At 37.5% G+C, this 25,976-nt stretch overlaps 1 pseudogene, besides 1 other annotated feature; it reads left to right on the top strand.

The window, feature by feature from the left end:
* Window positions 17,237–17,765: an enhancer, noted in NCBI's record as "NANOG hESC enhancer chr7:46666250-46666778 (GRCh37/hg19 assembly coordinates)". NCBI's record gives its function as "activates a minimal SCP1, AML or CMV promoter by ChIP-STARR-seq in naive H9 embryonic stem cells {active_cell/tissue: H9 hESC(naive)}" and the evidence as "EXISTENCE:reporter gene assay evidence [ECO:0000049][PMID:30033119]".
* HMGN1P19 (high mobility group nucleosome binding domain 1 pseudogene 19) lies at window positions 25,199–25,531 on the top strand (annotated as a pseudogene).

The raw sequence follows: 25,976 nt of genomic DNA on the forward strand, positions 1-25,976 counted from the left end.
ATTGCTGGGAATACAGCAATGAACCACACAAGCAAGCCCTGGGCTTCTTGAATTCTGCGCTTCTATGGTCAAGGCGATAGATGAAAGGTAATATGTCCAGAAACAAAAGTATTTTAAATTTTAACTTGCATAAACTTTGAAGACAGACTTGACAGGATTATAGATGGCTTAGATCCAGGAGTTAAAGAAAAAATAGTCAAAGATGTCTTTCTGTTTCCAGCTTGAAGAATAGTGGTGATATTTTCCAAAAAGTAGGAATTTATTTAGGAAGGAGTAATAACAAGAGGTTCACTGTGGGCACTTAGACTGACCATTTAATAATTCAAAGATATATATGTAAATGATCATAGTTTGAAAGCTATAGATTATTTACATAATCTTCCTAATCATGGTAATGAAGTCCATCATTGGTACTACATTTTTTTTTTCATTTGTTCAGTCAATATTTACTGCTCTCAGCCCACTGCTGGGCCCAAAGAGGAAACATTAGAGTGCTAGCTAAATCCCGGGATGGTTTTCAAAGTGAATTCACAAATATGCATCCCATGTCTTCCTCCTGGCTGTCCTGGGATGTAGGCATTAGTATCTACACTTTCTAATTGAGAAAATGACGCCTCAAGACTTTGGTTCCTAACTTTTATGTAATTAGTAAGTACATATTGTACTTTTAGTAGACAGAGGGTCTCACCATGTTGCCCAGGCAGGTTTCGAACTCCTGACCTCAAGTGATCCACCCATCTCGGCCTCCCAAAGTGCTGGGAGTACAGGTGTGAGCCACCGCGCCCAGCATTAGTAAGTACATATTAAAACTAAGTACAAACTTCATTGCCTGTGCCTCTCCAAGAGTAATTCATGCAACAACTTGCCATGTGGTCGGGGCATCTTTCACCATCCTGAGTCTTTGGGCTTGGCCACTCAGATGTATCTCTTCGGGCTACATGGACTCACAAATCAAGGAATATGGAGTTAGTTGCAAAACCATTCTGGAGAATTCAACCTAGATGATAATATGATCAGATAATGGAAATAAAAGTTTATAAACCGTAAAGTGCCATAAAAATATAAGAGGATGATTATTCCAGGTTTCCAACAAGGGATAGAAACATTCTTTGAGAAGAGGCTTGATATTCTCACACTGTCAACATGACTTTTCCTTTTGAATGAAAAAGATTTTATTTTCTTCTTCTCATGGGATAAGTACATGACCTTTACAAAACAACTCCGAAGCATTTCAGTTGTACAATCATGAATTGTGCACAAGAAAGGTTTGGTCACACTCTCGCTGATGCTGTGAGCTGATGCCAGAGGAAGACCTATGATAAACTAACACACCCATGCCAGGCCACCCTACATAAGTTTCTGAAAGTTCAGAGACTTCCTAGGAAGTCACCAAAAAGTCCCCTTGGGAATCCATGTCCTTTCAATAAAGCTCTTTCCAAGAACAAATGTTCTCAGCTAACTGGAATCCTACCAGGACTCACTTGAGATCCGTGAGTGTTTCTGTAGTACCTCCCTGAAGTTGATACTGCTGAATGTGGTGTCAGAATTCCTTTTATCTTGGAGGAGTTCCAAAAGATCCAGCAGAAGGCACACGTTTCTTCTCTTAGACCACATCCCAGCCAGTGGGTCAATTGCACAGGTGGCAAGCATAATGATAACTAGTGATTCTGCTTTGCTGGATGCTTAGAACTTGAAGCCATTAGAAAATGCTTCTCCTACTCCTGTTGTCTCCCTGGGCTCCCTTTTAATTTTGTAATCCCTGGCACATGTGTGTTAGTCAAAATGCCTGCCAGATCATTCATGCTGAGGAAAATAAGAAAAATGGAAGGTTGGCCACCCAGGCATGAGGGTTTTCTAAGCTGCCCATATATTGGGATGGTCCCAAGTCAGAGTGAACTTAGCAGGTGGCTTCTTCAGGCTGCCAGGACCTCTGAAGGAGCCTGCTTCTTCAACTACAAAATGAAGACAATGCTATTTACTTTATGAGTTTTCTGTGAACATTAAGTAAGGCAAAGCATATATAGAAATCAGCACAGTGACTGGCACAGAGTAGGCACTATGTGAGTAATAGAGATCATTATGTGTTATTGCCATTCATGATTATAATTATTATTTTCTGGGAAACCCAAATTTTGGTTTTCCCCCTTTATCTAATTTCAAATATACCAAGCATTTTATGTGAAATAGATCTTCGCATGAGAAAAAAAAAAAACAGAAATGTAAACTAGATAGAACCAAAATTTAATCTTTAGGAAAAGTTCCTGCAAGCCAGACAAGTGAGCCTCATGCCAATTTCCTGGTTATTTATAAGCCGCATTCTTGCTTCTTTCACAAACTCCAGAGATTTCTCATTTGGAAACAGAGTTGCTGGAGGTTTCTTAATTCTACCAGAAAATACCTTGATTCTAAATAACTGGTAATACTTTTTTTTTGTAGGAAAATACAAAAACATTAAAAAAACATTAAAAAATCTAAAAATAAAATTAATACAAATCTTTTAGAAAATCAGTGCAAATGAAGTATATCTACTATATGAAACTCTTATGCATGAAATGATAAAAATCTATCTGGTTTTAATGATCTAAAGAAAATGGTGTATCTTTTTTCAACCTGAGAACATACTTGAGTCAGACAGTGAATAACAATCATTTATCTTAAAAATATATCAATGTTCTTAGTGCAATCTACATTCATAAACATCTATTTTGAATCATAACCAAGAAATATCCAGAATCACTGACTTTTTTCCTATGTCCTCATAATTAGATTTTATGTAAGTTGAAAATCAACATGGGACATTTTCGGAGCAGAGATAGCATATTCTGTATTTCTAGAGTTTTGTTTGTTTGTTTGTTGTTTTAAAACAAGTTTTTTTTTTGTAATTCAAATCCATTTATGTTTCAAAAGAAATCCAATCCATATGTTTTTTATTTATTTACACTTACTGTAATTCATCAAAGAGCTATTTAATAAGCTATTTAATGTCCAAAGAGTCTTCGTCACAAGTTTTTTTTTAAGTCTTTCATCTTGTGTACCAGGAAGCTTTGCTTTTCTTTGAAACAAGGTTCTAAGAAAAACCTTCTGGAAAAATATGACCTTCCACTCATATTCTAAAATGTTACTCGGCTGGCAAATTAGGCTAACAGAAGGGTAGGCTTAAGCAATGCTTTAGTGAATTTAACAAGTTCTAAAACAGGGGTCAATTCAGTCCCCCCAAATCTATAATTAATAGTTGGATAGTGGCATTTTGGAGGGGGTCAAAAAGGATAAGCCCCTCTGCTTTTACTCAACAATCTCTCAAAAATGTCAAGAAAACACTGTGTGTTAGACATTATCCAATATGGGCAAAAAATTACTTTGATTTATTTTCACCATGCAATATTATCAAAATCCATCATCTCCAATTGCTGGAAAAATTGTTCTGTGTGTGTGTGTGTGCGCCTATGCCTGTATCTGTGAACGTGTGTATATCTGTGTGATGTGTATCTGCATGTGTGTATATTGTGTGAATGTCTGCATGTGTATGTATTGCAGTGTTATTTGTTATAATATACTTGCTTCAGATAAGATACAGGAAGGAATTTCTGGAAAACAAACCCCAAACTCAATGTTTTTGTAAGCTCTTGTCAATAGCTCCAATAGAAGCTTAGCTGAAGCCTTGTGTTCCAAGCCTTTAGGTTAATGGCCTCCTCTGGCCAGGACTTATTTCTTCTGGTGAACACAGAAACCTGCCATGGAGGATAAATCTTCTGACTGACCCTAGACAAATCCTCGAAGTAACAATTCCAAATATTACCATCGAGAAAAAGTGTTTGTTGTATTGCACTGCATGTGTTCTAAGGAAGAGACATTTTTCAAAGGCACCATATAAAGCTCCATTGGGAATTTCTCTAAGTACAACACGAGATGATCCGGAAGGTCCTGGGGCATCTGCCAAGTGGGGCTTACATGCAGTACATGCTCTTGGTTTTACGCATTTATTTTCCTGTTTTATTAATTCAATAAACATTCATGCAGAGCCTAGTTAGTTAATCAGGTAGCTATTTATATATAAAGAAAATGACCTCATTTTTTTCTGTTGTTAAAGAGGTGTTTATGTATATAATAGGTACTTTTCTGAACAGGAAATTGTCATATCTATCAATGCAGAAAGTGCTGGGTGATTTCAGGTTTGTTATCTTGTTCTGTTTTGATAACGACCCTTTGAAGCAAGGCTGGAACCTGAGGTTCAGCCAGATTAAATAACTTTCCCCATATCATAGAGATATTTCTAAGAAAAGCTGGAAATAAAACCCAGATATTTATGATGACACAATTCACTCTGCCTTATCTCACTACTGCAAATTCCATGAGATTTCAGAGCAGGAAGAGATTGGTAGGGATTTAGAATATCATAAATTTGAGGTCTCAGCTCCAAAACCCATGTAGTCAATAAAAGGGTTACTGCAGCATATTAAAGATCTCCCTTGAGCCAAGGGCAATGGGGCCTCTTGATCCTGCTTACCTTTCATCCTGGAGACAATTATGGTGATTTGGGGTGGGATCATGGGTTTGCAGCTATGCCTGGCCATTAGTGGGTAGGTACTCATCTGAACCAGTGAAGCCTGATGAATTGGAGACCAGAATAAATGAAATAGAGTGAAATGGAACTAATGCTTGGCCAATTGTGATGGCTTCACAATTGTCTACTATGTGACTTGCAGTACTATATAAACTTGCTGAACCTCAACGTCCTCATCTATAAAATGGACAATAAATAGTACCCCACCTCACAGGGCCATTGTGTCAATTGAGTGCATGGAATCTGCTGACCACTATCAACACCTATCCCCATTGGCCATCTTTCCTTTCTCTGATCAAGTCCTGAGTCCACAGCCATTAAACTCTAACTTCTATCCACTGAATGCTGGCCCCTCTGAGCTCCGACCTAACCAGGACTGAGAATAATGGCTTCCTTCTCAGAGTATTGTACCTGAGAGTCTTTGACAGGGGCACTTGAGGGATGACCAGCTCAGAAAAGCATATGGACTTGCAAAACCAATTGAACATATATTGCAGACAAGAATTAAGAAAAACTTGGGCCTTAAGAGAAAGGAGAATACTAAAGTTGCCAAAGGCATGGTTAGATTATAAAAGCAAAGTAATAGGTTTATTTATGGAACACGGGATATGGGTCTGGGAGTTGGGGTCATGGTTTGGGATAGTGTTAGGAACATGGTTTCCTTTCATTGCTATGACCACTCTGGTGTCTCTGCCATACTCTAGGCATCATGTTAGGTGTATCTGCAGACTATCACAGATCTGCACAGGAACAAGTTGAGGGAGGAGCTGAGACTTGGACAGGTGGTTTTCTCAGAGCCACGTGGCCAAGGAAGGGCTGAGATGTGAGGTCTCGTGCACACAGCTTGGGCCCCATGTCATTTCCATTGAAATATGTGGCTCAAGGTAATTGAGCAGCTATGGAAATGGGTGTGAGTGAAGCACTGTCAGTTACTTTTCTAAAAAAACTGACATCCCAAAACATGAGTTCCCTTTCTGAAGCTGTCTTCTGGGAACCCCCTTGCCTCCTGAGGGCCATGAGGAACTCCCTTTTTGACTATTGGTCACTCTGGGCTCCATCCTCCAGCCCTCACGCACCACGACTCCATGGATCAACTGTCATCAAAGCCTCAGCCTTTAGCTTCTTGTCATGGAAAGAGAGGATGAGGAGGTGAAAACAGAAGTGCATATAATTTTCTGGGGACATTTTGAAGTGACTCATCTTTCCGAATTGGAGAATAGAAATACGGGGCAATAGCCACTGAAATATTTAAATCATGCCACATGGTAGATATGTCCTAGGAAGCTAGCAAGAGAAATAATTCAGCAGAAGCTGGAAGGTATACATTATGATAATTTTTATTGCAAAATTATTTATTATTTTTAAATGTTTGTTTTTTGAAATTGTGGTAAGAACAGTTAACATGAGACTTAGCCACTTATCACATTTATAAGTGCACAATACAGTATTGTTAGCTATAGACACAATACTGTTCAGCAGAACTGTAGGACTTATTCATCTGTGTAACTGAAACTTCATACCTATTGAACAACAACTTTTCATTTCCCACTCCCCCAAGCCCTTGACAACCCCTGTTCAACTTTCTGCTTCTATGAGTTTGACTATTTTAGATTCCTGGTAAAAGTGGACTCATGTAGTGTCTGTCTTTCTTTGTTTGGCCTATTTCACTAGCAAAATGTCCTTCAGATTCATCTCTGTTGTTACAAATGATAGGATTTCCTTCTTTTTATGGCTGAATAGTATTCCATTATGTATATATACCACATATTCTTTATGCATTCATCCATCGATGAACATTTGGTTTATTTCTATGTCTTGGATATTGTGACTAATGCTGCAGCGGACAAAGGAGTGCAGGTATTTCTTCCCAATCCCGATTTCAATTCTCTTGGATGTATACCCAGAAGCATGATTGCCAGCTCATATGGTAGCTCTATTTTTCATTCTTTAGGGACCTCCATACTTTTTTCCATAATGGCTGTACCAATTTGTATTCCCACCAAGTGTTCAGGGTTTCAACTTCTCAACATCATAAAATGAGAAGTATAATGAGAAATGTATGACACACATAGCCATAAACTGAACACACACACCTATATGTAGTTGAAAATGTGAAACTATATAAATATTTTATTTAAGAACTAAAATAAAATAAAAATATATTACATTATATATAATTATAAATGGATACACGCTTGTGACAAAGTAACATGCAAATAATATTTTTATGTTAAAATAATGGTATAATATTTTTTAAAGTTAAAAGTTTACTTTAATAAAATAGAAAAAATCAATTAATGCTTTATTTAGTAAAAACTTAATTGAAAATAAATTATATATTATAGTAAATTTCCTTAGTAAAACATGTTGTTTTCTCTTGAAGTGTTAACTTTATTTAAAGCAATGCTACAGTCTGGGTAAAGTTATACTTGAAATAGTAAATATCTTTTTTTCTGAAGATGGTTTTTTCTTTGTGGCTGTTGTGGGATTATGGATACCTAACTAGTCCTAAGATAATGAGAAAAAGATGATTTTCTTTAAAACAAAAATTAATATTATTTATATTTATATTTATATGTAATCACTTTCAATATAAGCACATACTTCAAAAAAAAAAAAAAGAAAGAATCTTTGAAATTTTAAAAATTCCGGTGTTGATAACAGTAAATTTTAGGAACAATTCCCAAGCCTAATTTTTGCACACATCACATATAGGGCAATTTTTCTGAATCTTGGACCACTGGTGACATTGTTCAGAGTCAGAGAAGGGCTTCAATTAGAAGTTCCAGGTGAGCATCCAGTGAAGTTCTTACTCAAGAGGGCAGAAACCTCGCTGGCTGAGTTTCTAGCTAAAGTTTGTTGACTCATCCTGTTCTCTGTGAGCATGGGAAAATGTATATCATCTCCAGGGGGCAAAGAGAACTCTGTGCCAGGTCAGAGGAAGCAAACTATTAGGGAAACTAATCCTTTGAAACCATTTACTAAGACACTGAGTGCTGTCATTTGGTTTACCTGGAAGGCTTGTTAAAAATCTAATCACAAGATGATTTATATTTGAGGCACTTTTTGTACTATGATCCTTCAGCCAAGATCCATCTAGCATACAGATCTTTTCACTTTATTTTTAAGGACATCTGGAAGGTATTTCCCTACTCCCCTCTCCAATCTAAAGAACAACCAAACTACTTCTAGTGCAACAGAAATGAAAGGATCACCATAATGCCAACATCATTCATCTTTTTTAAATGTATAAATGCTTTTTGAGAAAAATTCATGCATTGTAACATTTGGGGGAGGCTATAACTTGTCATCTAATTATTGACATACAGATCAATAGTTTTTTTCTACATAGTTCATCTTAACACCATAAGCAACTCACATTATCTTCAAATCTCCATCAGAGAGAAGGCTGAGGCTTGGCTGGAGCAAGAGCTGGGTGACCGCAACAGGCCCTGGAGGGAGCCGTGCTGCATGTACATTGGGGCTATGTCAGGAACGTGGCTTCAGTAAATCTCTTAATAACACAAAGCTTCAACTTTTTCACCTGTTAAGAACAAAACAAAAAGCAAGGCTGTGATACTTCATTTCTCAGATGTTCTGGAACCCTTCAAGTCTAGCACATGTCTTCCAACCCATGGCTCTGTATAGACCTTCCAGCCTACCTACAGTGGCATTTCCATGCACCTTTCATGTTTGGTTCTACAGAGACAGTTCAAAAATTCTGCTGGTGCTAATGAACTGAGCTCTGGTCATGCACCTATAAGGATCAACGGACAGCAACCTGCATGACACTGATGATTTATGCTTTATAAAATAGAAAACACTAATGAGAATGAGATTAAACACTAATTATTATTTTTATCATTATTAAACACTGCTTAGAATAATCCATGTTTTGTCTGGTGGGTTAGAACAAACAAAAAAGATAATAAAAAGAAATTTTAAAAATCAAAAAAGAATGGACTATGTATAAATGTAAACTACAACCTATAAAAGATTCAATTTTCTCTCTTTTACCGTTTGACCATAGCTTCTGCATTACGTGGATTTGCTATAATCTGAATTTGTATTTTTATATATCCCGCCTGTGGATATTCTCAGTGCAATATGGTGTTAAAAATCTAAGCAGCATTCTCTTTTGCCTGCTGGCATTTATCAAAGTGATCTCTGATGTCAGTGTCTATTTGTGGTGATTATCAATCAGAGTTCACATGAGAATGATGGTTCACATTGACTTTTTTAGAAGCAGTGAGGTGTTCTCTATCTATCTTTAGTTTATCTGATATCCTGAGATCTCATTCTTCTCTCCATTGGTGGGGAATCTATTCTCAAAAGCTAAGAAGGGCCAGATTTTACAGACGCAAACTGGAGAGGGAGGTCATCGGGAGGTAGAGAAACATTTATAACACAGTGGATTTGGGGCAGTGCTGTGCTCTCTAGGCACGGAACTCAGGACAAGGTCTGAAGAACACAGTTGCAGGGATATCTCTTTTCAACCTGTTTGTCCTGTAATTGCACTTTCCATCTGAGAACTTGCTAGAAAATTGCATGGAAAATCCAAGTCTTAATATAACACAATGGTGATAGGCATAAGCTTTTAAGTGACATGGCCCTGGGTTCAAATTCCAAACCCTGCCCCTGGTTCTACAATCATTTGAAAAATAACTATTGAAATCTTTTTTGTCATTTTTAAAGTGAGAGACAAAATAGCTCACACATCATTGTTGTAGAGATTAAATGAAATAGCATACATTAAATGTTAATCCCAATACTGAGTACATACAAATGTTCAGTAACTATCATATATCTAGTCCTATGATATATTCCATTATAAAAATTTGGCCTTTGGGATTTTAAAACGTGAGGTTAATTGCCTCTTTAAAATTCACACAGCAATGTTATTTGCTTGGATAAGCCTAAGGTAGAGCTCATGGAAAGCACAAAGTCTAAATAGATTTTCCTCATCTCTGGTCTAGAAATGAAGAAACACAAAGCTACAGGACAGGCAAACATGATATAGAAGATTTAGATGGTAGGCATCATCATGGAATCATTCTCAATAGAAATCAGAAATCAGAAGAAAGAAGTTTTTATTTCTGGTTAAGTTGTTGTTTGGGCTGTCTTACTTTAAATTTATGCAATAACCTGCTTTCATTAATGCCTATCTCACGTGCCATACAAATGGCTCAAAACAAAACAGGTTATTAAGTAAGGTTTTCTGTCATCATAAATATAAAATTATTATTTTTTGTTTTTGCCTTTCTAGAATTCTCTTCTTAGGTCACTGGCACTGTTGAGGGTTCACGGAACTTCTGCGGAAAAGCCCGTGGATATTACTGGCTACCATGTGGCATTTGCTTTTGCTGATGAGAAATCTGATGCCATTCTAAATGCCATTATTATTGTCAGCAACCCATCTTTTCTTCTACAGAATTTTGGACTTTTTCTCTTTTCTTTTCTTTTTTTTTTTTTTTGAGGTGCAAAGTTCCACCCTAGTGTGTCTAGATGTAGCTATAATTTTGTTTAATCTAGGATCCAGTGTGGGATTTGGGGGATCTTGCCTTTACTTATAGAAAATCCTCATTGAATATGTGCATCTCTGGTTCTCTTCAGGTTCTCCATCTGCATCTCCTCTTAATACATTTTCTCATTCTTCTACTGTGAAAGTAAGCATTCACTATATATTTGTAAGAATTTGTCCACCCATTCATCAGGCTGGAATAAAACACACAGAAAGTCTCAGCTTCCAAGTTAACAGGAAGCAACATTTCTCCCAAGCACACATTGCTGTTGTAGTGTCTAAGCAGCAGTCCCATTTTTCGAGTGACTGCTGCTTTCTTACTGAGCTTTCATTAAATCTTGGAAGTCTGTCTGTTTGAAACCTTATCAGTAAGAATGAAACATTTGCCTCCAGCTTGAATGATCTAAGTCACGTTGACACAGAGAAGCAGCCTCAACCTCCAGCTCAGACCCAGAGCTTCAGATAAGGGTTCTGAACATAACATTCCGCATGTATCTCTACTTTGCAGTTTGCAAAGAAACAGAGTCCTAGGTCCATGCTGCAGTCTGGACTTGATGTTGACCACTTTGCATGGAGCCCTAATTTGCTTTGAGCCTTCAAAAATACTGCATCTTTCAAATTCCACCTAAATCCCCTCCTGCCCACAAATCCTAGAACAACTCAATCTTTATTTTTTCTTTTCTTGGCTTGGTAAGAAACCCCATGTTTCATCAGATATGCAGTCTTCCTTGCTGTGTGGTAATAATAATGCCATGTATACCATGTATGGGGCAACAAATAAATCCAATTTTGTTGGACTACAAGTTTGCCTTTGATTGAATGTGCCGATTGGGCTGGGGCATCGCTAGGTGGTCAGCTTCCTTTCTCCTATTTATTCGTTCTACAGTTAGCTTCAAATTTATTTCCTAAAATTTTATTTTATTCTATCATATTATAAAATACACATACAAAAGGATATATAATATATAGTTAGAATATAATAGATTAGATATATTAATGTATCCATATACAATAATATATTGGTATATTATATATTAGAATATATAATATATTGTTTATATAAAAATATATAAGTATATATAATGTATAACTGCATATCATAGTTTAAATTCCAATAAAACAGTCATCAATGTACCACCCCCTGCTGAGCCGAACAATAAAACCAGTGTCTTCATCATTGCTTACACTCCTGTGTGCCCCTCACAATCCTATACCTTCTTTTCTTCTCCCACCTAAGAAACAGCCTCTATCAATCTACTGTCTTTCCTCTACATAAAAATGCATTTCCAAATAATTATGTTTTAGTTTGGCCTCATTTTGGCCTTCTCATAAATTTCATCATTCTTCTGTGATTATAATTTTCTCTGATGTGCTTTTTCACACAACATTTTGCTTTTAATTTTATGTTTGAGGTGTATTTCAGTAATTTTCATTGCTATAGAGTGTTCTATAATGTAAGAATACTATAATTAACGTATTCAGTGGGCAAATCATGGACATTTCAGTTGTTACTAGCATTTCACTGCTATGAACAGTTTTGAACTCATCTCCGGGGAAAACTGTGCAAGAGACTCTTTATGGGATGTTCCCATGACTGCGGTTGCTGGATTTTAGGTGATGTGGTACTTTACCAGGTACTATAATATGGTGGCCCAACATGATTAAAACAACTTATATCCCCTCCAATGGGGCTTGAGGATTGCTTCACATCTTCACAAATGTATGATAATATCAGACTTTCAGTCCTTAAGTGGGATTGTATTGTAGTCCCCTCCTTCCTAGTGAGATTGCACATCTTTTCATTTTTTATTACTCTCTCATATTTTTGCTTCTGAATATACTATTGAGGGTTTATTACTTTAATATTGATTTTTAAATAACTATTTATATATTTAGCATGCTTATCCTTATTTTTAAAAAATATCCTCCCAGTGTGTAGCTTATTTAATTTTTTATAGTTTATTTTAATGCATTTATGTTCTTAAATTCAATATAATTAAGCCAATCAGTCTTATTCTTTATTTTTTGTATCTTAGTTTAGAAATCTTTCCTTACCTTGAGGTCAGAAAGAAATTTCCCTATATTTTCTCTAAAGGTTTTAAAACTTTACCTTCCACATTTAAAAATTCAACCCCTGAAGAAATACTTTTTCTGAAGCAGTAGGAAACAAATTTTGTATCATGTTGCTCCTCGTTCCAATTCTCTAACACTAATTTTTCCCCAGTCTGAATGTCACTTTTATCATCTCTTTATTTTCATAATACCCATGGCTCTCTTTGCAGACTTTATTCTGTTTTATGGGTCCCTTTTTCTAGCCTTATTTTTTTAATATAAGGCTTAATATTAGAGAAAACAACTTCTTGCCTCTTATTACTATTTAGGAATCCATTAAAAAATCAGAATCACTTCATCCAGTTTTATAAAACATCTTAGAAATTTTATTGAATCCACACAAATCACTTTTGAAAACTTGACTTCCTTCCAACACTGAGTCTTCATAAGAAAGCATGTCCCTGCAGTTATTAGGTCTCCTTTATTCCTTTCAATACAATTTATAATTTTATACCTACAGGGCTTGATAATATTAGTAAACTATCCTCTTTATAGTTTTGTTATTATTAATACATGTAAAAATTCTTAAAATTATATTTTTTAGTACTTTCATTTAATCTTTTGAGATGAGCCCATAGATTTTCTTCTTTATTCTTTTCAAAAAAGAAATTCTACTAAAGGAATTTTCTAAGATAAACAATTTTGCAACTCCAGGATAACTACAACTTGGTCAGGACAGAATGTCTTTTTATACATTGCTAAGTTGGGTTTATTAATATCTTCTTGGAATTTTTGCATATGTTTTATATATATCTAAACTATTATTGTACATTATTAATCTTTAAAATTTCAAAACTTACACCAGTGGTTCAGTAACAAAGAGGCTTGTGACATAAGTAAAAAGATTACCAAACTTCTAGATGATATATTTTGCTTCCACAGTTTCAAATGAGATAGATTTCACTGCCTGATAGCTTGATTTTATTTGGATTTGAAATGTATGGACTTGACAGTAAACGCAACAGTCCTTTCTCAATAATGTAAACAAAACTCCAAACCATTTTAGGGCTTTATTTGTTTCACGATAGCTCTGTTTCTATGGACTACTAAGTGCTAATTCATGATACTAACTTCATTATTTTGCTTTCAAACTTGGTTCTTATGCTAATTGTCTCTTTCGAATGACATTTCCCTCCTCCCCCATATTTTAAAATCCAGTCTGACAATCTTTGTCTGCAACTAGAAAGTCTGAGTCATTTACATTTATTGAGAATACAGTTATATTTAAATTTAAATTTATGTTTACCATGCTAGGTTATAATTTTCTGGCCTGTGATTATCAACAATTCTTTTGGTTTTATTCCTTTTATACATTATTTGGAATTTTTCTACTTTCTTCTATTTCTATATAATAACTTTGAAAGTTATCTAGTTTTTTTTCTGTTTGCATATACTGGAAATTTTAACTTGCATATTTAACCCAACAAAGTCTGATTGGAGAACTTTTATTGTCTTTCCAAAACAATACAAGGGCCTAGACATTTAATGCAACTATTCCCTTCTGGACTTATAGCTTATACTTGCTTAGTGTTTTAGTTTCATGTCATTTTATAATTCTGCAAGTTAGACATTATGATAATTACTATTTTATGTTGTCAATACTTCTTTTGGCTTACCTGTAAGCTTCCAATTTTCTTTACCCATCCCTTCTTTTATCTCAGATATTTCTTTGGAGATTATTTTCTTCTGAAAAGTATATTCTTTTAAAGTTCTCCTTGAGGTGACTTAGTAATAAACTTTTCAGGGCTATTTGTCTAAAAATATATTTATTTTTTCTAATTTTTTAAAAACAGTTCCATTCACGCTATACTTTTAGTTTGTTAATTATTTATTCTCAGCACTGTGGAGATAATTTCCCAGTCTTCTAGTTTCTATTGTGGTTGAGGAAAAGTCAGCTGTTGGCCTATATTTTGTTTATATATAACCTATCTTTTCTCGATACTGGAAGTTCATCTTTGTCTTTGTTTTTGTTTTTGTTTTCCTACTTAAATGTGTCTAGTGTCTCGAGCTTTTCTAATATAAGAATTAATATCCTCCATCAATTTTGAGAAAATAAAGTTTTAGCCTGCCTCTTCAAATATTACTTCTTCTAACTATTCTATTATTTCCTTCCTAAACTCTGTTCTCTCTCTCACACACACACACCTTATTAGTCTAGTGGTCTTTCCATGTCTCTTCAAATTTTATTACTCTCTTTGTAGCTGCATTCTGATTAATTTTGCATGTTATTTATTCTAGTAATTTAGGTCTTTGAAATTCACTGTTATTTCTTTTAAATTATTAAATGCACTTTTTAAAAACTTCTGCATATGGTGTTCCAATAGCTGAAGTCTTTTAACATCTGACTCTATTTTTTTCTTTTTGCTCAGTCTAATTCATGGTTATTTGTTACCTCATCTGCTTCGAAACACTGTTCTAAATTTGTGAACTCCTTTTCATTGAAACTTTATTGATTACAGTTGCTTCAGGGTACTTTTACTTGAATTTCTCTAGAAAGTATTCTTTTTTTCTTTTCTTTTTTTTTTTTTTTTTTTTTTTGAGATGGAGTTTTTGCTCTTTTGCCCAGGCTGGAGTGCAATGGCGCCATCTCGGCTCACTCCAACGTCCGCCTCCTGGGTTCAAGCAATTCTTCAGCCTCAGCCTCCCAAGTAGCTAGTATTACAGGAGTGCATCACCACGCCCGGCTAATTTTTTTTTCATATTTTTAATAGAAACGGAGTTTCACTGTGTTGGTCAGGCTGGTCTCAAACTCTTGACCTGAGGTGATCCACCTGCCTCGGCCTCCCAAAGTGCTGGAATTACAGGTGTGAGCCACCGCGCCCAGCCTAGAAAGTATTCTTATGGGCTCTGACAGGTGTCAGGACTTGAGAAAACGAATACATTATCAAGTTGGCTTGTTTGTATGTTTTTTTGAGGATAACAGATAGTGTGACATCATGCCCCAAACATGTGAAGATAGGGTTTGCCATACAAATGCTCAGTGAACACCTGCTTATTTTTTCCCTTCCCTCAGGAGTGTCCTTTTTGTCTCACTAGTCCACTGGGCACATAGTACTGGTTTTATGACGGAGTGTTTGCCTTCACTTCCCTACCTGCACAGGGTTCAGTCACTACTGTCTTTTGTCAGGGATCACCAGGACCAAAACTCAGGGTCACCAGCGATCAGAAACACTTCTGTGGCAACAGTCAGCATCCATGCACTTGATTCTCTGTTGCATTCTATTTTCTCGTCATTTTGGGTATCTGAGAATTTCCCTTGCCCTGAAGGCTCACCTGGGCATTTGTTTTTGTATTTTAGCTTCTGATTTTAGATTTTCCATTCTGTGAAGTTTTAGGGGCAACACGGAGTTTGCAACGTTGTCAGAGAGAGAAACTTTAATTCCCTCTTCTGATATCCAACATAACAGTCATCATGTCTATTGAGATTGAAAGCATTTTTAAATTACATGATTACAGTCTTTCTTTTCAGTATATTTTCAACCTGAAATTAAACACATACACACACACACAAACACACACCCCACAGGCCCATGGACCAACAGAACGGACACCACAGGGGAGTTTGCTAGAAACGCAAGTTCTGTTGAGTCAGAGCTCCAGGGGTAAAGCCCAGGTCTGTGCTTTCTCACACCCTCAGAACAATGCAGGCACAACCAAAGTTTGGGAAGCCCTGCTTGACTACTAGAGAAAATTCACAATGGACTCTCTTTGTACTTAGTACTTACATCACAAGGTGCTCTAGAAAGCATTTTCTCAAACTCATATGCATAGTGTGCCTTCTTTGTCTCAAGCACATAAACTCTCAGTGGTAATTGCTAAGCTTTTCACAGCATAATTTTTAATTATATTTAATTTAAATATGAATTATAAATTATCCCATGTCTCTTAGGTCTTATAGTTCTTTTTTAAAGTTCCACTATATTTTCTTTGAAACTTCCATAGGAAAATAGACAAGAAGAGAAACCCTTCTCAAAACAAACCAAAGTAATTGTTGATATTAGTGAAGTGCTTCCTATTGTTCCAGCTATTTTGCTTGATTGTTGATATGTATTTAAATAATTTATGCTGGTGCCTGAGATCCTGTAATGTCATTGTGTTTTCTCTAAGTCTGCAAAAGTTGACTGCAAACATTGTATTTTAGAGTGGATAAAGTTATAAAACATAAAACTGCTCATGTTGAAAGGTGGTTTTAATTATAGATTTTTTTTTACTATTACCATTTTAATGTGGTAAAAGTCATTAAATCATTTAGGATATTTGAATTGAGACAGAACCCCCCAAAACACACACACATACACACACACACACACACGCACACACACGTTCCAACTACAAGCCAAATCAGGAGAGAAATAAAACACAATTATACTCTTCCTAGTCATTCTTTGCTCATATGCTAGATGATACAGAAAACAGAAGCACTCAAATTGAGGGAGTCTATGTTTTCAACGTTTTTGGAATTATAAATGTATTGTATTTCTGTAGGATACTTATTAACGAGGCTTAGAAAAATGTCGTTAAAATGTGACCGCCAGAACCACTCTTCTACCCGTTGGCCGAACTGTCTGTAAGTCACCACAGCTGGAACATCTGCTCTGCAAGCAGGCAGCCCCTTTCCACTCATGCCTAGGCCCACCCCAAGGGAGCAGAAAATCATCTCGCCCAGCAACCCGCTGATTCAGGTAACCACATTCACTCTAGCCATAATAGTTGTTCATAATCCTTAACCTATATTATGGAAAACTCTTGAATTTCAACCCAAGGAGAGAGAGGATGGGGTAGTAGAAAAAGCGTTGGCCCTGGGAAGAGATGATTGGGTTTGTAATGAGAGCAGCTGTCACACTAGGCAACTGTATGATTCAGAGAGTTTCACATTTTCTCTTGGGGTTTGTTTTCTTCCTTTGTAAAATAAAGGGTTTAAACTATGTTACCAATGTGGAACCTTCTGGCTCTATGATCTTATGATGTAAAACTGAACAGATTAAAAACAAAACAAAACTAAACTAAAAACGTTCATATATAGCCCATGGACATGGGTATAAGAGATGAAGCCTTCTCTTCTGTCACGTATTTGGAGGCACATGAGAGCAACACCTGGACCCAAATGAGAGGGGACTCCAAACTGCATCACGTAACATGACAGTCAAGACAATTTCCTCCCATACTGGCAAAATATCATTTACTCATAATACCCAACAGGTGCATGATGAGAAATCTTTGGGCAGCTGGGTCAACATAATCCTAACAGGGTTTTTTAACACTGAGTGATAGCTTCCAGCACTTTGCCATCAGCCAGCACTGGGCTTTGCATTTTCTCTTTCATGAGCAACAAATGTTAATGATGTGTTGATGGCTCCAATGCTTTGTTGTTTCTGGGAGATCCGGTTTACGGCCACCATCTTTCTCAGGGATTCTAAAGGTGTTTTTAATACACAACACATTCCCCAAATGTGGATGAAAAAAGGAGGGAGTGATGAGGGAAATGGTGACTCAGTCTGGTCACAGAATGTCAGAACCGCTACAGACCGTGGGAATCTTTCTTCTGAGGCATTGCTTTGTGCTTAAGAAAATGAAATGTCCAGAGAAGTGATGAGCCCAAAGTCTTTCATGGTACACAAAGTAGAACACAAAACAGAAACTCAAAAATATAAGACAATGTTCTTTCCTCAGTCCATGGAACTGCATTGCTCCATGGACTGAACTGGAGGCCCCCCACACCAAAGTAATACTTTCAATACTTTATGAAAAGTACTGTGCCAAAAGAGTAGAAAGGACAAAGTGATGATTCTGTTTTGCGCATGGTAGTCAGTGATTTGCTAGGCAGAGAAGAAAAAAGAAGAGATGAGGAGACAGGAGAGAAAAGAAGTAATAAGAAAAGAGAGGAGATCTAACCCCAGTGAATGGGAAACTAAAAAATCGTGGAGTCATGCAAGAAAGAGTGTGTTTATGAAAGAGCTGGTTGTTTAGTGAGATTGAAAAGTAAACTGTATAGAATGTAATGGATCAGTTTGCAAAACCATCTGAGATTAAGTTATGAGCAGCCTTAAATAGAAAGGAAAGGAGCTTAAACTTGCTCATATTGATGACAAGAATTTATGGCAGTGCTTTAAGCAAGAGCATGCATTCTTAGAAACACCCCTCTCCAACAACAGCAGAGAAGTGAGCTGGAAAGAGTCGAGGTGAGGAGGCAGATTAGGAGGTTGCTGCAGAGACTGCACACAATAAAGATAGGTGCAGAAAGTGTGTGACCTCAGGGCTGGTATATGCAGCCCATGTTCACTGGCGTGGAGCTGCCTCAAGCCTCTATGTTTGCTTCTTTCCCGTCTCTCAGCAGCAGACTCATACTAATGTAAAAATGAATGTTCGCTTGGTTTGTGCAGAAAATGATTCCGTATTCAGATATCCAAGAAATTTGAAGCAGCAGAGAAAATATGCTTTTACAGCATCACTGATCTATGGGTTGCAATTCAACTGTAAGCAAAGTATGCAGCTGTTTCAAAAGTGAGAAACATCTTAAATTGTCTCCATCCTTTGGACAAAACAAGGGAAAAGAGTCTTGGAATTAAAGAAAACTGAGTTAGAATAAAAGCTGGGCCAGTTACTGGCTATAACATTTTGGGCAAGTTTCTCTATGTGTAAGATGAGATTATAAAACCATCCCCATCTGAAGTGGCAAGGATGAAATTTGAAAAACCATACTCTATGTACAGGGCTTACCCCAGATCTAGGTACTGAGCAGGCTCCCATAAACATGTGTGTCCTTCCTCTTCCACTCTTCAATGCCCTCCAGACTGTGGGGGGCTGAGACACTCTCAGTGTCTCTGTACATTCCCTTAGTTGTGTTCCTACTAGCCCTCTTAATTCAAGAGCCATCTCTGCATTTTCAAGTCTGCATCTTAACTCACCTCTTCTGAGAAGTCAGCCCAGACTACACCATCTAACTTGGGGTATTCTCCTGTTGTTCTCCATGGCAACAACCTGTTTTCTTCCCTTGATATCACTTATGATAATGCACGCTTTGACAGTGATCTGTTTCATTTCTCAGTTGTGTGCATCTACCAGGAAGACAGTAGTCATTCTGGGTTCCCCAGAGAAGCAAAACCAGTAGGAGATACATACATGTATATACACACACATATACATAAATATATATGACAAAAGAGAAAGGAGAGCTGGGTGCGGTGGCTCACGCCTGTAATCCCAGCACTTTGGGAGGTCGAGGCAGGCAGATCATGAGGTCAGAAGATCGAGACCATCCTGGCTAACATGGTGAAACCCTATCTCTACTGAAACTAAAAAAAAATTAGCCGGGCGTGGTGGTGCGCGCCTGTAGTCCCAGCTACTTAGGAGGCTAAGGTAGGAGAATCGCTTGAACCTGAGAGGCGGAGGTTGCAGTGAGCTGAGATCGCACCACTGCACTCAAGCCTGGCGACAGGGCAAGACTCCGTCTCAAGAAAAAAAAAAAAGAGAGAGAGAGAGAGAAAAAGGAGAGAGATTTAATTCATGGAACTGGCTCATATGATTATGGGGGCTGACAAGTCTGAAATCTCCAGGGCAGGCCAGGAAGCTGGAGACCCAGACCCAAGGAGGGTTTCTATGTTATAGTCTTGACAGACTTTTTTTGGGTAGGGGGACTTCACTTTTTGCTTTTAAGGCCTTTAACTGATTACATGAGACTCACCCCTAGAATCAGGGATAATGTCCTTCACTTAAAGTCCACTGAGTGTAAATGTTAACCACATCTACAAAACGCCATCATAGCAATATCTAGACTAGTGTTTTAGCAAACAAGTGGGCACCACGGCCTGGCCAAGTTGACACTCCCCCATGGATCATATTCCTCTGCACCATGCTGGGCACAGAATAGATCCTCAGTAAGTAAGTGTTAGATAAACAAGCTGAACTTCAGATTATAATGATGCAATGCACATTTGCCATTCTTTTTCAGATGCCAGTATCTTAACCACTTGCTTGTTTGAGAATCCTCTCCTTAGGGAGCAGAGCTCTGTTCCCACTGAAAAGCTGGGATTGGAAAAATCAACCCCAGGCTCTGAAGGGATTCTGGGGCTGGATTGCAGAATGGGCAGCCTGTGCCATGACCACCAGCAGCAAAGAAGGTGGTGCTGATGACAACACACCACACGGTGGCTGTGTCCTGGTGCCCCCAGATCTGGTGTTATGCCCTCGGGAGGCAGGTTTGTGGCGGGCTTTGGGGGCTTTGGCAGAGAACATGACTGAAAGCTGCTCATCTGACCCAGTATGACCTCCGGAGCCTCTTGTTCCCCTTCAGGCAGCCTTTTTCCATTTCTCCAGCCTATATTTGGGTTCTGTCTCTCAGGCTTGCATGACAACACAGGTGGCCTTCGTTTCCTGATATTTTCCAGAGAGTGTATATTACTGTATAATTTCCATTCTGCACAGCACAGAACAGCCAGTCACTTTGGAATCTGAAGATCTGGATTTGAGCTTGGGTCACTGTTCACATTCTGTTCATGTTTGGAGAATTGTGCATCCTCCCAGGCCTGAGTAGAAATGGTTGGCCCTGGAGGCCTACGTGGCCTCCTGTTCATCTTCCCAGCCAGGGCCTCACTGTGTGGCTCATGTTACTCAGACGTGCTTGGAGGCTGGAATCCAACCACAAGTGCACAGTGGAGATCCATCTGCAGCTCTGAGGTTAAAAGCAGGGACTTTGGCATTTGGCCATCCAGGGGTATGAGGGTGGACTCCAGTCCTTTCCCTCCACCCTGGAAACAGTGAAAACAGAGACATGCTGAGCCCCTATGAGCCTCCTGGGAGGGAACATACCTCCCTTCAACTGGTCCTCAGAGACCTGCCAGCCCTGGCACTTCAGCACCACTCCCCTAGTCCCCCTCCTGGAGTTTCTGAGTGTCTGTGAGACTTCTGCTTCCTACCTTTGCTTTGCTGTAATCAAAAGAACCATCTGCTGCCCCAACAGCTGACAGAAATAAATTAATTAAATTAAATGTAAAAACTGCTACTTAGGCTAGAGTACAAGACCTAATCACTATGAGTGGAGACTAACCTCTGACCTCTCACATCTCCTTCACCCTCACATTAAAAATGCATTATTTCATTTGAGTCAAGTCTTTAAAAAAAAAATGTATGGCCATGGAAATGCTGGAAGTCTCTAATGTCCTGAAAACTATAAACATAAATTCTCACATATCACATGCAAGCAATAAGCTAACACACTTTTAAATTTAAAAAATTTGGGAAAAGAATTTAGAACAAAATAGAGTAAAATACAAATTAAAGAGCATTAGGTAGTTTACCATAAAGGTAAAGGCTTTTATCATTAATATGCACTCTAGAATTATCAATATTGTTTAACTTAACAATTGAATTTAAGAAGGCATCAAAGTGAATCTATCAAAAGAGATTTTTTAAAAAGGATAGATAATACTGTCATTATTTGTAGATTATAAGATTACATGATTGTACACCTAAAATACTTATATAATACTACTGGATTTGTTCTAAAAGAGTAGAATATAGTGATCAGACTTTAAAAAAAAAGAACAGAAAACAAAAGCTTTGGTATATACCAGCAATAATTATGAAGACATTAAATGAAAATAAACAGCATTTCTAATAAGGACACAATACCAGCTCAGTGGGATTGTTTGGGACATGGGTTATCAAAAAATCACTAAGATCATTTAAGTATTTATGGTGAGAATATAGTATACAGTTAAAAAATGTATTATAATAATACTGTACCAGATATTAAATCACTCTTTTAATATGTAACTATGACAATTCTAGATAAGAATGGACAGAGATATTTATACTATCGAAGTCAAGCAATGGGTCCTGATATAAATGAACTTCATGTAGGATGGTAAAAATTCACCAGTTGGCGAGAAAAGAAAGTATTTAGTAATGGTTTGGAGAGATTTGGTTAACTAATAGTAAATAAATTTAAAATTTCTGACAATAAGCTAACAAAAAAGGTGAAAATAATAAATAAAATTGAAGTTCTAGAAGAAAATAGAGATGCATATAGATCTACTCTTTGATTAGAGAAAATTTTTCAAATTTCAAATTAGTGGAAGCCGAGTGCAGTGGCTCACACCTGTAATCCCAGCACTTTGGGAGGGCAAGGCAGGCGCATCACCTGAGGTCAGGAGTTCAAGATCAGCCTGGTCAACATTATGAAACCCCATCTCTATTAAAAATACAAAAATTAGATGGGTGTGGTGGCAGGTGCCTGTAATCCCAGCTACTCGGGAGGCTGAGGCCAGAGAATCACTTGAACCCTGGAGGCAGAGTTTGCAATGAGCCAAGATCGCACTATTACACTCCAGCCTGGGCAACAAGAGTGAAACTTCGTCCCAAAAAGAAAAAAAAAACAGTGGAGAAATATCAAAATACTCAAAAGTCTATGCACACGGCATACAGTGATAAAAAGTCCAACAAATATTATAGATTAAGCACATTAATATTCTTAATACATGAAGAGATCAAAATAGATAAGATCACAAATACTGCCTCCCGATATGGTTTGACTGTGTCCCCACCCAAATCTCATCTTGAATTGTAGCTTCCATAATTCCCACATGTTGTGGGAGGGACCTGGTGGGAAATAATTGAATCATGGGGACGGTTTCCCCCGTACTGTTCTCATGGTAGTGAATAAGTCACACAAGGTCTGATGGTTTTATAAGGGGAAACCTCTTTCACTTGCCATTCATTCTCTCTTTTCCTGCTGCCATGTAACACGTGCCTTTCCCCTTCCACCATGATTGTGAGGCTGCCCCAGCCACATGGAACTGTGAGTCCATTAAGCCTCTTTTTCTTTATAAATTATCCCCTCTTGAGTATGTCTTTATCAGCAGCATGAAAACAGACTAATACACCTCCTCAGAGTAAAGTCACAGAAGAATAAATATAAATGGCTACTTGACATGTAAATAAGTTGAAACTCACTAGAACTTAAAAATGAAGTTCACTGGAAATTAAACACTAATTTTGCTGGAAGTTACACATTAAAAATTGAATTAAGTAGAAATTAAAAAATGTAAAATAAGAATGCAATTGTTTTCTTAGTACACTAGGAAAGAGTAGTTAATCTCATGTCAATCATGAACAGGGTGTTATAATCTCTGAGGAACAGACTGGCAGCAGGAGTCAAGCTTCTTAAAAGTTATGTTCTTTAGAATCTGTGTGTCTGCTTCTAGGTGTCTCATCTAATTACATAGGAAATCTTCACAAGCATAGAGAAATATATCAAATAATTATTTTTAATAATTAAACATTTTAAAATTTCCTAGATCCAACAATAGATATTCCACTTTTGGGGAGGAAGAGGACATAAGCCTTTTTTTGAAAAGTAACAAACTGACTCATTTACATATTATTTTACCAGACATTGGGCAAGGTGACTCTGTTTTGAAGATCTCTGGATTGGCTGTGACCAAAACCACATCTTTGACCTTGCTACATTCAATAGAATAGAATTAATAATGGCCACCATTTGTTGAGACCTGAATCTACACAGCAGACACTTTGCAGACATCCTCTAATATGATCTTAAAGGGATGATTCTTTCTCCCTTGTCCTTCTGTAACCTGCAAACATCACCTAGACTCTCTTCTCTTTTTTTTTTTAGCACTTTCATTCCTTCCCTTTCTGTGCTTTCTTTCTCTTGGACTCTTCCTTCCACTTCCTTAATGGAAATGTCTGTAAACCACTCACATAAAATGAGTTGAAACTCCCAATAACAGCGTGTGCTGCTGAGGGGAGGAGAGAGGGAAGAAGAATGAGTCAGCAAAACAGAAGTTTGACAACATAAAAAGTGATGTGCACCAAAAACCAGGTGCTCCTATGTTCAGAGGGGGACCAATTATCTGATTTGGAGCAGAATCAAGAAGGAATTGTAGTGGAGCCTCTAGGATCATAGGCAGGATTGGGAAAAGCGATACTTTTGACAGAACAAAATGAGCAGAGGGTTGGTTGGAAACACATACAAAGCTCAGGTGTCTATTCTTTGTCATAAGCACCTACAAAAGTCAGGCACAACCTTGTTTAGTTGTGATTTTAAAAAATCCCCTCCCTTAACTGATTCAGAGTTATGAATTAATAATAATGTGATGCCTTCACTCTCCACAAAAACAAAAATAAGAAAAATCCCTGCCTCGACTCATGCCCATTGGTCTTCATGGACAGCTACCAAAGTTGCAAATGGAGATTCAAAACAGGAGGGAAGACTGAGCCAAGAATGAGCTGTCCTTGAGGGTGTTCCAATTCAAATGTATTTATCCTTGATAATTGCAGTAATTTTCACATCATCACTTTACTTGACGTGTCTATTGTTTTGTGCTTTCTAAAACCCAGATAGCACCTTTGAAGATAACCTTCCTCCACTGCTCATTGCCTCTCCAACCACTGAGCTCAGGAGTAAACTATGCATGCATTAGGTATTAAACATGGTCAAACAGGCTGTGTAATTCATTGACCTAAGAAAAATCACAGACGCATCAGCTCCTCCCGGGAAGTTTGTGATGAAATATTTTATCAGCCTCTCAAAGCATCAAAAAGCAAGACCAAAGAGATACTTTCCAAAACAGGAATAATCCTCACAGAAACAATTAATGCAAGAGCCAAGGGGCTGAAAGAGAGAAGCTGGGAAGCTTCTATTTCTTACCAAACGCCGTTTTTTTTTTTTGTTGTTGTTGTTTTGTTTTTTGGTTTTTTTTTTTATTTTAAATTGATTGGATATTTGCAGTCTAGTAGGCTTACCACTCATTTACGTGAAATGATGAAGCAGCAAGGATGACCTTAGCCTTCTGGGTCCAGTTCAAATGGATGGATTCATTCAGCATATCTTCAATGTCCACAGAGATTACTGGCCTTCTGCTGTGGTGGGGGAGCTTTAATTAAATAATTAGGGCAGGAGCTGAGCAGCCCAGCATCAAGAAGGCTCTCAGCACACATTGGTCCACAAGCACCAGGCATGCGTCCTCCCCACCACCAAGACAACCAAGAGGAAAATCAGTTCAGCCAAAGGAACAGTAAAGGAAGAGCCCAAGAGGTGATCGGTATGGTTGTCAGCTAAACCTGCTCCTGAAAAAGTGGAAATAAAGCCAAGAAGTGGCGGGGGTGGGGGGCGGGGTGTGTATGGGGTGAATAGCAGGAAAGGATAAATCTTCAGACAAAAAAGTGCAAACAAAAGGGAAACGGGAGCAATGGGAAAACAGGCTGAAGTGGCTGACCAAGAAATTAAAGAAGATTTACCTTCAGAAAATGAAGAAACTAAAACAGAGAAGAGTCCAGCCTTTGATAAAGCCAGAGAGAAAGAAGCCGAGTCTGATTAATATCATGTACCATGTCTTATCAGAGGTCCCTGTCTCCCTTTTTGTGCTATCCAGATGAATATTTTTATCAACTGTTTTGTAAATGCAAGTTTTTCAGTAGCTCTAGAAACATTTTTTAAAAGGAGATAATTCCACCTCATTCCACTTTTTAAGTGTAAATGCTTTTTAAAAACAGGTTAAATCATTCACTGGTTGTTTGTTTTTTGGTACAATCAAAAAAATATTGTGACATAGAGAATTGTGGGGGACTTTGGCAGTCTCGGGTTTCAGCTTAATGTTCCATAAATGGGGGGTTAGTTTTTATTCTATAGTACAAAGCATACTAACTGGCAAGATGGAGTCACAGTCCTGCATTTAATGTCGTGAACATTTAAAATTACTTCTAATCCCATGTTGTTTTTTGGTAGAATTGTTTATTAAAGAAAACCATTCCCTGATCATGATC

Source organism: Homo sapiens, chromosome 7, assembly GCF_000001405.40.
Source record: "Homo sapiens chromosome 7, GRCh38.p14 Primary Assembly".
NCBI classification, from domain to species: Eukaryota; Metazoa; Chordata; class Mammalia; order Primates; family Hominidae; genus Homo; species Homo sapiens.